At 41.3% G+C, this 15,093-nt stretch overlaps 1 protein-coding gene across 7 annotated transcripts in view; it reads right to left on the bottom strand.

The window, feature by feature from the left end:
- The window catches only part of VAMP7 (vesicle associated membrane protein 7), a 62,425-nt gene extending 47,610 nt beyond the window's left edge, over positions 1-14,815 (bottom strand). For 2 of the 7 annotated variants that reach the window (XM_017029760.2, XM_011531188.2), the window contains exons 1-3: positions 14,712-14,815; positions 6,527-6,702; positions 480-537 (exon numbers count right to left, since the gene is read on the bottom strand). In XM_017029760.2, coding sequence (XP_016885249.1) covers positions 480-537; positions 6,527-6,531 — 63 coding nt within the window. In that variant the 5' untranslated portion in view covers positions 6,532-6,702; positions 14,712-14,815. The remainder of the gene's footprint in view (positions 1-479; positions 538-6,526; positions 6,703-14,711) is intronic. The other 5 variants (NM_005638.6, NM_001185183.2, NR_033715.2 and 2 more) reach the window with 4 other exon arrangements.

Genomic DNA, 15,093 nt, shown 5'->3' with positions numbered 1-15,093 from the left:
TGACAAATGCAAAATATTAACAATTCCAGCTATGTAAAGTTCGCATCACGTTTGCCCACTATAGGTACAGATCAGCAGTCCCCAACCTTTTTGGCACCAGGGACCGGTTTTGTAGAAGACAATTTTTCCAAGGACTGGGGGAGGGTGAATGGTTTCGGGATTAAACTGTTCCACCTCAGATCATCAGGCATTAGATTCTCCTAAGGAGCATGCAATTTAGATCCCTCGGATGCAGAGTTCACAACAGGGTTCACACTCATATGAGAATCTAATGCTGCTGCTGATCTGACAGGAGGCAGAACTCAGGTGGTAATGCTCATAGGCCACTCACCTCCTGCTATGTGGCCTGGTTCCTAACAAGCCACAGACCTGTACCGGTCTGCAGCCTGGGGGTTGGGGACCCCTGGTATAGATAATTAAGAACTGGCTGTATTAACAGTACACATAGTTAAATAGCAATATGTCTTCAAGTTACTTACATCATCAGTGATACAAAGATATACAATCCTGTCTTGGCAGATGTAATGAAACAAATAACTGTAGAATAAAAGATATAAAACTTACTGTGGTTATAAGCAACATCACTTTTACTTCTATCTTCTATCTATGTATAAGCACGTTCAGTACTGCCAATGTCACCATATTACTTACGGATACAGTCTCTTCTCCCTCTTCCCCTTCCCAATATACCTGTTTCTTTCAAGTCAAACTGATAGAAGTACATAAGAAATAAAAAGATCTCTATTCTAGCTACATAGCACAACAGCATGTGTATTACCCATTAGAACGATAGCTGCAAAAGCATAATTGGACTCTTAAAGCATGAACAAGAGATGACATCTTAGGAGGAGGATGTAATTAAGATTAACCCCCAATAGGCCATATGGTTTTCTTTGCTTTTTCCTAAGTTCTTAAAGCAAACATCTTTTCTACCAAATTCTCAACATTTGAGTATCCACTTTGAGTTAGTTACTGTGCTGGATGCTGAGGATACAAAAAAGCAAAACCACCAAGTCCCAGTCTTCATAGGGATCACAGTGTAAGGAATTACAGTGCAGCATGGCAAACAGGATGACAGGAAAGTTAAAGGCAGTACATGGTGCTCTGGGGACACATTAATAGATGAGGCACGAAATGGAGATTTGCCAAAGGGTAACCAGAAAGACTTCCCAGAACAAGTGATGTCTGATTTAAGACCTGAAGAATAAGTAACAGATGGCAAGGTAAAGAGTGAGCGAAAGGCCAGGCGTGGTGGCTGGCTCATGCCTGTAATCCTAGCACTTTGGGAGGCTGAGGCGGGCAGATCGCTTGAGCTCAGGAGTTCAAGACCAGCCTGGGCAACATGGCAAAACCCCGTCTGTACACAAAATACAAAAATTAGCCAGGTGTGGTGGCACACGCCTATAGTCCCAGCTACTTGGGAGGCTGAGGCAGGAGGATCGCTGGAACCCAGGAGGTTGAGGCTGTAGTAAGCTGAGATTGCGCCACTGCACTCCAGCCTGGGTAACAAAGTGAGACCTTGTTTCAAAAAACAACAACAACAAAAAAAAGTGAGCAAAGAGTTTTTCCAGAGAGGAAGCAGCAAGCATAAGGGCCTAGAGGTAAAACAGCACCTAATAGATTTAGGAAAGTAAAATTGGCTCACATGACTAGAGTACAGAATGTGAAGAAAAAGTGAATTATCTGGACAGACAAGACTGGAGAAGTAAGCAAAAACCAGGTTATACAAGACTTTATAAACCACACTGTGCATTATCCTAAGAATAATGAATAAACATCCAAAAGTTTTAGCCTAGGGAGGGTGTGATCAGATTTGCACTTTAAAAAGGACACATTAAAAAAAAAAAAAAAAAAAAAACAAAGGACACATTGGCTAGAGTGCGGAAAACTGACTCAAAGGAGGACCAGACAGGAGACTACTGCAGTATACCGGGTAAGAAATGAGGAGGGAAATAAACTAAAGTAGAATGGGTAATAAAGAAAAAGGGACAGAGAAGAGATAGGAGGCAGCATTTATAGAACTTGGTGACTGGCGTGAGACAGGTTAACTAAATTTTGCCTCCCACATTTGTACCTTGGGCAAGTGGATAGATAGGGGTACCTGTTGAATTATATTAATGTTCACAGAGGACTGACATGAATTACAAGGAGATACAGGAACTCAGGCAAAATCTTTTCCTCCAATACTCTAAAACTATTTGCACCATTTCCACCAATGACTTCCACATTGCCATATCCAGTGGCTCTCTCTGAAACATATGATAGTGTTGACCACTTCCTTTTGGAAAGTGTTTTATCTTCACTAGATTTCTTGACATCAGGCTTGCCTGGTGCTATAGACTGAACTGTGTCCTTTCAAAATTCATATGTTACAGTGTGACTATATTTGGAGACAAGGCCTTTGGGAGGCACTTAAGATTAGATGAGGTCATGAGGGTGGGGTCCTCGTGATGGGATTAGTGGCTTTAAAAAAGAGGAAGAAAAAGATCACTCTCTTTCCACCACCTGAGAACACAGCAAGAAGGTGGCCATCTGCCAGCCAGGAAGAAGGCCCTCATCAAGAACTGAATTAGCGGGCACCTCACGCAGTCTCCAGAACTGTGAGAAACAAGTATCTGTTGTTCAAGCCACTCAGTCTATGGTATTTTGTTATAGCAGCCCAAGCAGGCTAATATACCTGGTTTATATCATAGTCCCTTTCCCTCTACACTAACGTTTTCTAGCTTCCTTAGCCTCCTGCTTTTTTCACACTTACTTACTCCCTGGAGGGCAGCATGCACTCTCATGTTTTGTTGTAGTTTGTTTTCAGCTACCACAATTATGCCAATGATTCCCAAATCTCCATCTGACCTATCTCCTGAGCTCCAGGACTACCTACACTACTGTCTACTAGACATATCCAACTGGACATACCATAGACAGCTTAAACATGACATGCCCAGAATGAAAGTCATCACTTTCCCCATAAAATTTGTTTCTCCTAAACCAGACTTGTAAGTCACTTGGTGCACAGGCCACAAAAGGTAACAAGGTATGATCCCTGCCATCAAGAAGCCTACAGTCAGGGTACAGAAATAAACAATCATTTCAATTATAATACAGTCTGAGGCCAGGCACGGTGGCTCATGCCTGTAATCCCAGCACTTTGGGAGGCCGAGGCGGGCGGATTGCCTGAGGTCAGGAGTTCGAGACCTGCCTGGCCAACATGGTGAAACCCCATCTCTACTAAAAATACAAAAATTAGCCAGGCGTGGTGGCACACGCCTGTCATCCCAGTTACTCGGGAGGCTGAGGCAGGATAATCACTTGAACCCAGGAAGTGGAGGTTGCGGTGAGCTGAGATTGCGCCATTGCACTCCAGCCTGGGCAACAAAAGCGAAACTTCGTCTCAATAATAATAATAATAATAATAATAATACAGTGTGAAAAGTGTTACAATATGAACAAACTAGATGCTATGTAGACACATAAAAAGAGTGTCTGATTGCGGTGCCTGACTCAGTGTTAATGTTCAGGGGTTTCTGGAAAAGGAAACATCTAAGCTCAGGCACACAAAGTGAGATTTTTAAAAAATTAAGTAGATAAATATATTCCAGTAAAAGGTAACAGCTATTGCAAAGGCTAGGAAGAGAGAAAGAACCTAGCATTGAATTGTAAATGGCTAAGTATGAAGTATGGCTGGAAAGCAAAACTGAGGACTAAAGTAGTAAAAGATGAGCCCACAGAAGGAAAAAGTGGCAGATCTTGAAGAATATTCCAAGTCCCGTTAAGGAATTTTACCTTGAGGGCAGACAGTATCTGTTGAAGGAAGGAATATGATCAGAACTGCCCTTTTAGAAGCATTAAAGTACAAATTAAGAAAGTATTTCGCTTGGGACCTGTAAAGTGAGCAAAAGTTTACAAGGAGGCTTAGGGGGAGAACAGCATTCCTAGAAGATAACAAAAGCATGAAAAAAAGGTACCAAAGCTCGAAATAACACAGCTAGATCAGAGACACAGGCAGAGAGGCATGGCAGACAGATAACATCTCCTTCTACTATAACTGCATTTTAATTGGATTACATATTCTATACTCTCTTAAAGCTACATATGGCTGTGACTAAATTCTGGCTCATAATACATGAGTGGAAGATATATGCCCTATTTCCCAGTCTTGCCTCTAAAAGGACGACTACATGTGCTTTCCCTGGACATTTTCCCAGGAACTGCCTAGAAACACAAAGACTGTAAGTCTAATACATTTTTAGAGAAAGTATAAAGCCAAAATCATAAGAAGCTAAGATTATTTAACCCCTAACCTCTAGGCCCACAAACCTACGCTGGCAGCAAGAGGACTACAAAATGGGTACAATTCCCAAAGATGATATACTCTCTAACTACCATTTTGGATGTGGCCAGAAAGGAAAAACTTCCTGGAGAACAAAGCCAGGAGTCAGGGAAAAAGGGTGAGGGAGTTCCTCCAAGAAAGCAGAACCACTAACCACTTCCTGGTCAGAATAGGGAGTCTTTGAAATTGTGTGAGGCAATTATTTGATCATTACTGGAAAGCAATGACTTCTACATGTTTCTCATTCTTCCCTTTTCCAAATGGGAGTTTGTAACTCTCACTGTGATGATCCTTTTCTTATTTCACCATTGTCTACTGGGTTAGGCTGGGAAAGCAGGGAAAACATATGACTTATCTTTTACTTTATGGTCAGTGGACCACAGGAGCCACACCAGGGCCTGATGGATAGGACTGTGTACCACCTAGACATGCTGGACTTGGAGCCAAACACAGTGACTAGATAGGTCTTTGGAGCTACCTCTCTCAGAGAAGAGGCGTATTCTATGTTTGGGAAGAAAGGTTCACTGAAATATCTGGGTGGCCAGGAGAGTAGACTGGAAGACTGCAAGTCATCCCCTGATATCCTATAACTTCCTCCAGAGTAACAGAGTTTTAGTTGAGCCTACGACTACATAGCCAGAGATGACAATTCCTGGCCTCCCTTCTAGCTATGCTAGCTACATGACTGTGTAGTGAACAGTAAGATGTAAGTGGAAGCTTCTCAACAATATCAGGCCACTTCTGGGCCCTGCCTTTAAAATTACTGGGCAAGCACTGGGATATAACAAGCACCAAAGGAGCTGCCTTGGCCAGAAGTGGAAAGCACTAATTGCTTTGGGAATTAGGGAATTGGAAATGGCAGAGCCACCCCAACATCCCAAACCACTCATCTCTGGACTATCTCATTAAAATTAATACTGTATCTTGGGGGTCTCTCTCATAGTAGCTTAGAGTACACCTTAAACTGTATAAGGGGTTAGCCATAGAAAGTAATAAGGACCTCATTCTGAGATAAGAACTAAGGAAGTAAGGCTGGGTTAAGTAAGAAAAGATTTTTAAGTGCCAACGGGGAAGGTTGAGGCACTTTTTAAAACTAATTACTAAGATTTCCCAACTATGGCCACTCTAATAAGCCACCAGAGTGATCTTTCTAAAGCAAAAACTGACTGAAGGGCCAGGGGCAGTGGCTCACGCCTGTAATCCCAACGCTTTGGGAGGCCAAGGCAGGCGAATCACCTGAGGTCAGGAGCTTGAGACAAGCCTGGCCAACATGGTGAAACCCCAACTCTACTAAAAATACAAAAATTAGCTGGGCATGGTGGTGCACGCCTGTAATCCCAGCTACTCAGGAGGCTAAGGCACGAGAATCATCTGAACCTGGGAGATGGAGGTTGCAGTGAGCCAAGATCGCACCACTGCACTCCAGCCTGGGTGACAGAGTGAGACTCTGTTTCTAAATAAATAAATAAATAAATAAATAAAACAAACCTGACTCTGTCACACCCTGGCTGAAAACCTTCAATGCCTTTCCACTGCCCACAAGGTAAAGTCCAAGCTCTTAATATGGCCTACAAGGCCCTACATGACTTTTCTTCTACCCATCTCTCTAGCTTTATTTTCACCATCCTGGGCACCAGTCACAGAGAACAGTCTGCAGTTCCCTAAATATGCCCGCCCTATGATCTCATGCCTCCATACTTCTCTACCTGCTGTTCCTTCTACTTGGAATACCATTCTCCTATCTACTACTTCCCATCCCCCCAACCCTTGACATCGTGGATTTGACTTTCTCCCTCATTAAACTATAACCCTTATGAGGGCAAATACCACATATCTTGTTATATCCCCAGCACCAAGCAAAGTGCCTGGCAATAGTTAAGTGCTCAGTAAATATTTACTGAAAGAATGAACAAAGGAACATTATCTATCTTATCTGAATTATTTTCACATATCACACAGCTCTAGAGCAAAGTCATTTTTACATTTAACATTTCATCTTTCTTCAAAATAAAATATCACTTCAATAATAGAATAAAATAATTACAAGTTAAATTTATAAGTAACAAAACCAGATATATTTTCTAAGTTGGTGAAGGTTACTATTCTGTCAGCTTATTCAAATTATGTACCTAGAAGCTTGTTTTCTACTTTTCTACCGTTCTGATTAGAGTAACAGAATTCCCTTCTTTCATCCCTTACCACATGCAGAACAGAACTCACTTGCCATGTGAGTACGTTAGTTTGTTATTTTCAGAAGGTATCTTAGCCAGAATCTGCTCTGTCACCTCCAGGAAGTTTCCTCCACACCAAGCATGTTTGGCAAGGATAGTGGTCCCCCTGGCAACAACAGCAAAAAGAATCGCCATGGCTTCAGTCTATCAAAAGGAAAAAGACACAGATTTAGAATATTTCTTTGACATAATCTTTCAAAGGTAACTTACTATCATTTATCAACATACTACCTGGAGATAGTATCTAACGAGGCACTATAACATGAAACTTAACAACAGACTTAAGAGCAGGCTTAAAAAGAAGGTCAAAGTTTTCTACAAACTTACAACCTAAGCCATGCTTGTATGCATTCATATAAAGAGACATACAAAACACATACACACACACACACACCATTGATAGCTTGCATTTACAAATTATTATAGCACAAACAGATATCACCCTTTTGAAAAGCAATGACTATAGATAGCAAAGGGACATAAAGATGTCTTCATTCTTTAATGTAGAAATTCCATCCTGAAAATTTATCCTAGAGAAATAGTTCAACAGAAGTTAAGACTCTAGATTCACAAAGATAACTATTAACAATAAAAATAGCCTATATTTATTGTTTACTATGTGCCAGGTACCATTTTAAATACTTTATAATTATTAATCCATTTAATCCTCACAACTCAATGAGATTATACACTATTATGATACTTCTATTATAGATGAGAAAACTGAAGCACAGATGACTTAAATAATTTCCCCCAAATTACAGAGCTAGTAAGTGTGGAGCTGCAATTTAAACCTAGGCAGTATGGTTCTAGAGCTCATAATCTTAGCCTTTTACTGTACACTGCCAGTATAAAGGCATTATCCATAACAGAAACAAAGTGAAAATAACTCAAAGCTTCCACAAGAAAGGAATGGTAAGACCCTTCATAAACAAAACATTACTAAAACCATATGGCATGAGTTTAAGATTATTTTCCTTATGTCTGCCTATGAATATGTGCTATTATTTCCCACCTAACAAGCCCAGCTTCTCTTATTTAATGGCATAAACATAAAAAGAGATGAACAAATCCTTGTCTAGTCTTCGATTAACTGTTAAACCTACTCTTATTTGTTAACATGCTCAGTACCCAACATACCAGTGGTTCTCAAACTGTAGTGGGAATACGAATCATCTTGTGTGGCAGAGTATGAGTCATTTGCTAAAAATTCAAACTCTTGGCATCACTTCCTGAAATTCTGATTCCGTAGGCCTGAGGTAGGGCCCTGGAATCTGTATTTAATACAAGTCTGTCTGGATGCAGGTGATTCACACAAACATACTTTGTGAAACACAACAGCAAACTATAAACTGTTTGAGATCAAGGAATGTGCAGATTCCTTATTGCAATCCCAGCATGGAAGGACAGCACACAGAGCAGAAGGTGCTCATCTGTCTCTTGGGCTGAATGCCTTTTGGGGATCTCTTTTTCATTCCTACTCTCTAACTGAAGTTGTTCCCCAGGGTTGTGATCTCAACCATCTTCTTTCTAGAATTCTCCTTACACATATGCAGTAAGTTATAGTTTCCAAATTGCTGTCTTATACTTTATCTCCCTTGATCCTAAAGCCTCCCTAACTGTGGATCCTACTGTTCTGTTTCTTTTCTTTTTTTTTTTTTTTTGAGACAGGGTCTTGCTCTGTCACCCAAGCTCCAGGCTAGAGTGCAGTGGCACAATCTTGGCTCACTACAGCCTCCACTTATCAGGCTCAAGTGATCCTCCTACCTCAGCCTCTGGAGTATCTGGGACTACAGGTGTGTGCCACCATGTCCGGCTATTTTTGTATTTTTTTTTGTACAGACAGGGTTTCACCATGTCACCCAGGCTGGTCTTGAACTCCCGGGCTCAAGTGATCCACCTGCCTTGGCCTCCCAAAGTGCTGGGATTACAGGCATGAGCCACCGTACCTGGCCCTGTTCTGTTTCTTCAAAGCATCGTTACGCATTATCTCTGCTCCTCTGCCTCCTTTCAACTCTTCTACTTACTATAATCCAGCTTTTGCCCTTAAAACTCCAGAAAACCATGCTTCCTAAGGTCACCAACAGCCTCTATATTGCAAAATACAGTGGTTGCTTCTCTATTCTTACCTTACTTGACCTCTTAGGCACAGTCAACACTGCTGACCGACCCTCCTTCTTGAAATGCTCCTACATCTCTGGCTGCTCTTTTTGTCTTCTTGCTGACTCTTCCTCCTCTACCTGACCTCTAAATGTCGACTTTCCTCCGGGACTGATTCTGTGCCCTTTTATTCCCAGATGAGCTCAGTTAGATCTGCCATTTTAAACATGATTTATTTGCTGAAGATATATTGCATACAGAAAAAAAAAATAGTGCCAAAGATAAAACCCAAAGCACAACCAACAGTTGAGGGAAAGGTAGATAAATAGAGACTCACAAAGACTGAGGAGGACCAAATGGGAAAGCCAAAAGTGTGGTGGCCCAGAAGCCGAAAGGAAAGAAAGAGAATGAAGACTGTAAAACAATCAGTGAAATTTTATAACAAGGAAGGAGGTCATTGCTTAGGGTCAAAGAGACACAGTAGAGAGGAACAAAAACACAAAGAGAAACAGAGATAAGAAATCATATGGTCCCTGGAACAGAGAGATGAAAAAGTAGCAGCAGCCTCAGTCCCTGTGCAGGTTCAGAAGGAAACTTGACCTTGGCAACAATTAATACAAAAAGATCTAGTGTTTCAGTGGACTGTAAGTTCATTATGAACCAACGGTATGCGATATTGCTTAAAAATGCTTACATAATCTCAAAGTACATTAAGAAATAGGGTGTCTTGACCTGTTTAAGTACTAGTCCCATTACACTCTGTGCTGGTTAGAACATATGTAAAATACTGAATTCAATTCTGGGTAGAATATTTAACGACTAGACAAAAGGGAGGCAATACAATATGGGTGAGAGACATGGAGATTGTGTCATCTGAAGACTGGCTGGAGGAACTAGAGATATGTAACATGAGAAAGAGAGGACTTAGAGGGAACATGACAATAGTTTTTGAGTTTATATAAAGTACAGTCACCTGGAACAGGGAGCACATTATTCAGAATATAACTAGGAACAATGAATATAAGTTATACGCAAGTAGTGTTTCTTCCAATAAAAGCAGTCCCCAACTTAAAAATGACTGTTAAACAGTGGGTACATAGCAACAGAAACTTTACTTTCCTTCCAGATGTCACTAATAGGAATTCCTTCCTCTCTGCTATACTGCTAAAAATCCCACCTATGAAGTCTTACCTGCCCCCATTGTAAGTGTCTTGTAATAGAATCCATAACGTCTTGATGAGTATTGGGATAACAGAAACAATTGTGGCACAATGAACACTGCACTTGAAGTTAGAAAACCTGGCTCTGCTAATTATTAGCAGTATGTAAATGCCTAATAAACCATAAAGTGCTATATAAAGATAAGATCCAAGAAGAAAAAGAATGAAAAGATAAGCCAGAGAGAGAAGGGAAGAAAAAAAGATAATGCAACATAAAGGAAAGCCCCATATCAACACTGTTCCTCTTTGTTCTCCTATTCACTCCCCACTTGGTCCCACAGCCACCATCCCAATTCTACTTTATTCCTGCTAAGAATCCTGTATTAGTTTCTTGTAGCTGCAGTAATAAAGTACCAAAAACTTGGTTGCTTAAAACAACAGAAATGTATCGCCTACCAGTTCTGAGGGTTAAAAGTCCAAAATCAAGATGTTGGCAGGGTTATGCTCCCTCTGAAACCTGTAGAAGAGAATCTTTCCTTATCTCTTTCTAGCTTCTGATAGTTTGGTGGCAATCCTTGGTGTTCCTTGGCTTGGAGGTGCAGCACTTCAATCTTTACCTCTGTAGTCACATGGTGTTCTCTGTATCTGTGTCTTCACACTGCATTCTCTCTGTCTCTCTTCTTTTATATGGATGCCAGTCATATTGGATAAAGGGCCCACTCTACTCCAGTATGACCCCATTTTCAATTACATCTTAATTACATCTGCAAAGATCCTATTTCTAAATAAGATCCCATTCACAGGTACCACGGGTTAGGACTTCAACACAGCTTTCTGGAGGACACAATTCAACCCACAACAAACCCCCATTTTAAACTGATACTACACCTGATCTTAGCCAAAAGGCTGACAAGCAATGCAAACTTCCATTTTAGAAACTCACTGTTCATCCCAAATAAATCCTACCCTTCCCTTTCCAGATACTCATATCACCCAACTTGCCTCCCTCTCTAAAACCTCTGTCCCTTCGTTTTCCTTGCTCATATTGGAGGACTGTCCTTAGAGCTAAGGGCTAGAAGGGTCACCCACAACAGTTTGGAGTTAGAAAAGCCTGTTTTTACTATGTTAAGGGACTAAAGAAAGGATATTTTTGTTCTAGTTGTTGGGTTTCTAAAAAAAGATATGCTATAAGGGAATTCAAATGAGAATTATAAATGCAGTTTTTTAATAGAGGAATTATTGTAAATTGTGGGGAAGGTCTTCGAGTCCACTAAATTAAAAGTTAATAAAATGATACTGGTTGGCATAACAGTGTAAATGTCATGGATAGCATTATTTATAGAAGGAAATGCATCCAGCGTTCCAAACAATAAGCTTACAACAGTACTTTTAGAATATATCCATTTGTAAGTAAGAAATTGCCTGTATTAAAAAATTTGGTAATAACATAGAACAGCAATGATGAAAATGCTCCTCCTCAGCAGAAGCATCTTCAAGTAGAGGCTGAAGACAGTTTCAGGTAACTGAGTAAGGGGAAAGGCCAAGTCCATGTGTTTTGAGAAATCTTTTAATTCTGCATTTGTATTTTGATAACACTGAAAAATGTATAAGAATATTCTGGATCATCTACATGTGTATCTTATAAACGAGCAATGGCACACAATTCAGTGCTGCACTTGCATTCCTGTCTATAAAGAAATAGGTGTCAATAAATCACCTAAAATAACAATGCTTAATGTTTACATCTTAGAAGTATCTGGCTGATCTTAGGTTGGCACATCCTAAATTCACGACAGTCATGACTCAAGCACTCTTGTACTGCTGTTGTTTTTAATCAGTTATAAAGACAAAATTTGTCTTTTGCAGTAATGATTTACAATTGAAAGATACCTGCATGGAATAAGACTTTAATTTTGGCTGGGCGCAGTGGTTCATGCCTGTAATCCCAGCACTTTGGGAGGCTGAGGCGGGCGGATCACCCAAGGTCAGGAGTTCGAGACCAGCCTGACCAACATGGAGAAACCCCGTTTCTACTAAAAATACAAAATTAGCCAGGCGTGGTGGCGCACGCCTGTAATTCCAGCTACTTGGGAGGCTGAGGCAGGAGAATCGCTTGAACCCGGGAAGTGGAGGCTGAGGTGAGCCAAGATCATGCCATTGCACTCCAGCCTGGGTAACAAGAGCAAAACTCTGTCTCAAAAGAAAAAAAAAAGTTTAATTTTAATACTTGAGGCTTTTATCTGACATCCTGAAAATGACAATGTGGCAGAATAACATTACCACTTAAATTACCTCAGGCTGAGAAAGTAATACTCAAAGATGTGTTTCTTGGCCGGGCATGGTGGCTCATGCCTGTAATCCCAGCACTTTGGGAGGCCGAGGTGGATCACCTGAGGTCAGGAGTTCGAGACCAGCCTGACCAAAAATGGTGAAATCCCGTCTCTACTAAAAATACAAAAAAAAATTAGTCAGGCGTGGTGGTGTGCACCTGTAATCCCAGCTACTCAGGGGGCTGAGGCAGGAGAATTGCTTGAACCTGGGAGGCGGAGGTTGCAGTGAGCCGAGATCGCGCCGCTGCACTCCAGCCCAGGCAACGGAGTGAGACTCCGTCTCAAAAAAAAAAAAAAAAAAAAAGATGTGTTTCTACCAAGTAGAAACCAAATGATACCAAAACATGCTGTGTGAACAGAGGTTATACAACTGTTCAAATAAAGTAGTAGAATTAACTCATTACATAGCACATGGTGATAGTCAATGCAAAATCTTTAAAAAGTATTCTGTATCATTATATTATTGCAGTAGGATCTATTACATTAATTCTTGCAAGAGTTCATTGGCAGAATGTTTCATAGGAAATATAAAAAGGAAATTAATTTTTTTCCACCCCTGTATCATGAGCAGATTATTAAATTAACTGGCCCACCAAATTAATGGAGGGAGGTACACAAGGTGCTTGGGAAGAGATGGGAGATCCTTTTAGGAGGGATGGATGGAAGAAGAGAAGGCACTGAGAGCAAGGTAAAGAAGGTACATAAGCTAGCCTGATAAGATGGAATGGTCCACCTTTGGTGAATGAGAAGGTTGAGGAATACGGCTGATGGCCTTACATAAAGAAGGCCTTGTATAAATCATGTCATTTAAATTTGATCAAATAGGGAGTCTATTTCAGTTCAACACGTATATACTGGTGGGTTACTATATGACAGTCAAAGTAGACACTAGAGGTATAAAGTTAAGGAAGAAGGGACTCCTATACTTGAGGGAGCCATAGAACAATGGGGAAGACAGATATAAATAAATGCAATAAAGTATAATAAGTGAATAATCTAAGAATGTCCGCAATTGCTCAGGAAATGTCTTAATGTTTTGTGATGATCTCACCTCGGATGAAGAACAGGAATGCAGGTGTCAGCCTATGCCTTAGAAATTTCCTCAGTATACTGTTAGGATTATTTCTCCTTGGAAGAGAGGTCAAAGTGTCTATTTTACCCTATTTTCCCAGTGCTCAGCACAGTGCCTACCATCTAATATTCCCTCAAATATCTGTTGAATAAATGAGTGAACATTGAGCATATTTTGGTTTTAAAATATACTATAAATGGTAGATAACTTTATATTCAGAAGGACCTGGTAAGAATAATATTTTCACAACCAAACTATCTTTCTAAGTAAGATAAAGCAGTTGAGCTAATAGTAATCCAATCCCCCACTCTTCTCTCTGGGTCTTAGAAGGAATAAACCAACTACAGATAAACCATGAATTCTGATGCAATAACCTTGGAGGAGATAGAAGAATGAAGAATAAACACTGCTTAGACAGGGGAAAAGAAGAGGTGTTTACGAAAAGTCATGTTACAGATCAAGATTATTCCTGTTGGTATTACAACTATTCTTTCTGGACGATGCCCTGACCTCTGACTTTCTTAGGATAGGATCCCATCCTTTCAAGTCAACCACCTGTTTTATTTTGCATTAACCAATATATAACATAATCCTGATTATTCCTGTTTTCCCCTCTAGACACAAACATGTAAGTTCCTGAGAGTAGCAACCTCCTAAGTCTTGTTTACAGCTGTATCCCCTGCACTTAAAAGAGTGTCAAGCATATACCAGCCGTTCAATAAATATTTGTTAAATGTATGAATGGATCTGCTCTCAGCCACAGGTATTCAAAGGGAATTAATATCCTAAACATGACTGTATCCTCTGGGATCAAGGGAGGGATAATGGAGATACAGGTAGTTGAAAGCAATTAATGAGGCCAAATGAAGACAGTTGGTTGGTTGTGAGAGTTATGGGAGACGGAGATGTAAAGCATTTACCAAAGTACGCAGTCAGAATTTGATAAACATTGGCCATTAATAAAAACACCAAACAGGTCTGAAGCTGAGGAAACGGGTCTAGGCAGAAATACAGTCCCTGAACAGAGGAAGAAGGGGACTGTCAATACTGAGCAGTGGAGGAAGGGCGAATAAGGGGCTAGGAACCCACGAAGGAGCATAAACAGCCAGAAGTAGAAGGTGAAGCAGAAAGTGACGTCATCGAACAAGGACGTAGAGAGTTTTTAGAAGACTCTGGCGATCTCAAGAGATTTAAATGCTACAGAAAGGTCTTGTAGAATACAAACTGAGAGAAAGTTAACATTTTTTCCCTCCTGTAATGACAGCTTAAGTGACGCATTCTGACACTCTTTAACTCGAGGCCTTTCCAGTGGCATAAGACGCACCTCGCCAAAACTGGTCCTGCCCGACAACTGGAACTGTCGACACCAGAGAAGCCCAAGTCACCCCTGCACTGCCTCCTCGCTCCACCCCAGCACCTTTCCATCGACACCTCCGCCCTCCCTCCGCAGTTCTCTCCCCGCCTCCCGCAGGCGCACCCCACTCCATTTACCTGTCCGGGCACCCTCTGAGGGCGCGCGGGCTCGGGACGGAGGGACGCGGGTCAGTGCAGGGTCGCCAACTGCCCGCTCCCAGAGGAGGCTGGGACCGGACGCCGCTGACTTCCGCATGAAGCGCCCCGTCTACGCGTGGCCTCTTGGGAGTGGGAGCGCTCCTCCAATGGCAGCAGGCGACACGGCTAGGCCTGCTGCGTTCCCAGCCCCCCGCACTTCCCAGGAGCCGTACTGCATTCTGGGAGTAGTAGTTCCGGTTGGAGTATCACTGAGTGTTTCACGTTCGTTCGACAGCTCTTGTGGTAAACAGCGTCAAATGCCGTATAGGGATCCAGGAAAATGAGAGGATGCAGGCTAGATAAAGAATCTACCAGCAATGAG

Source organism: Homo sapiens, chromosome X, assembly GCF_000001405.40.
Source record: "Homo sapiens chromosome X, GRCh38.p14 Primary Assembly".
Classification (NCBI taxonomy): Eukaryota; Metazoa; Chordata; class Mammalia; order Primates; family Hominidae; genus Homo; species Homo sapiens.
Note: the sequence above shows the minus strand (reverse complement) of the source record. Positions and strands in the feature narration are given on the sequence as shown.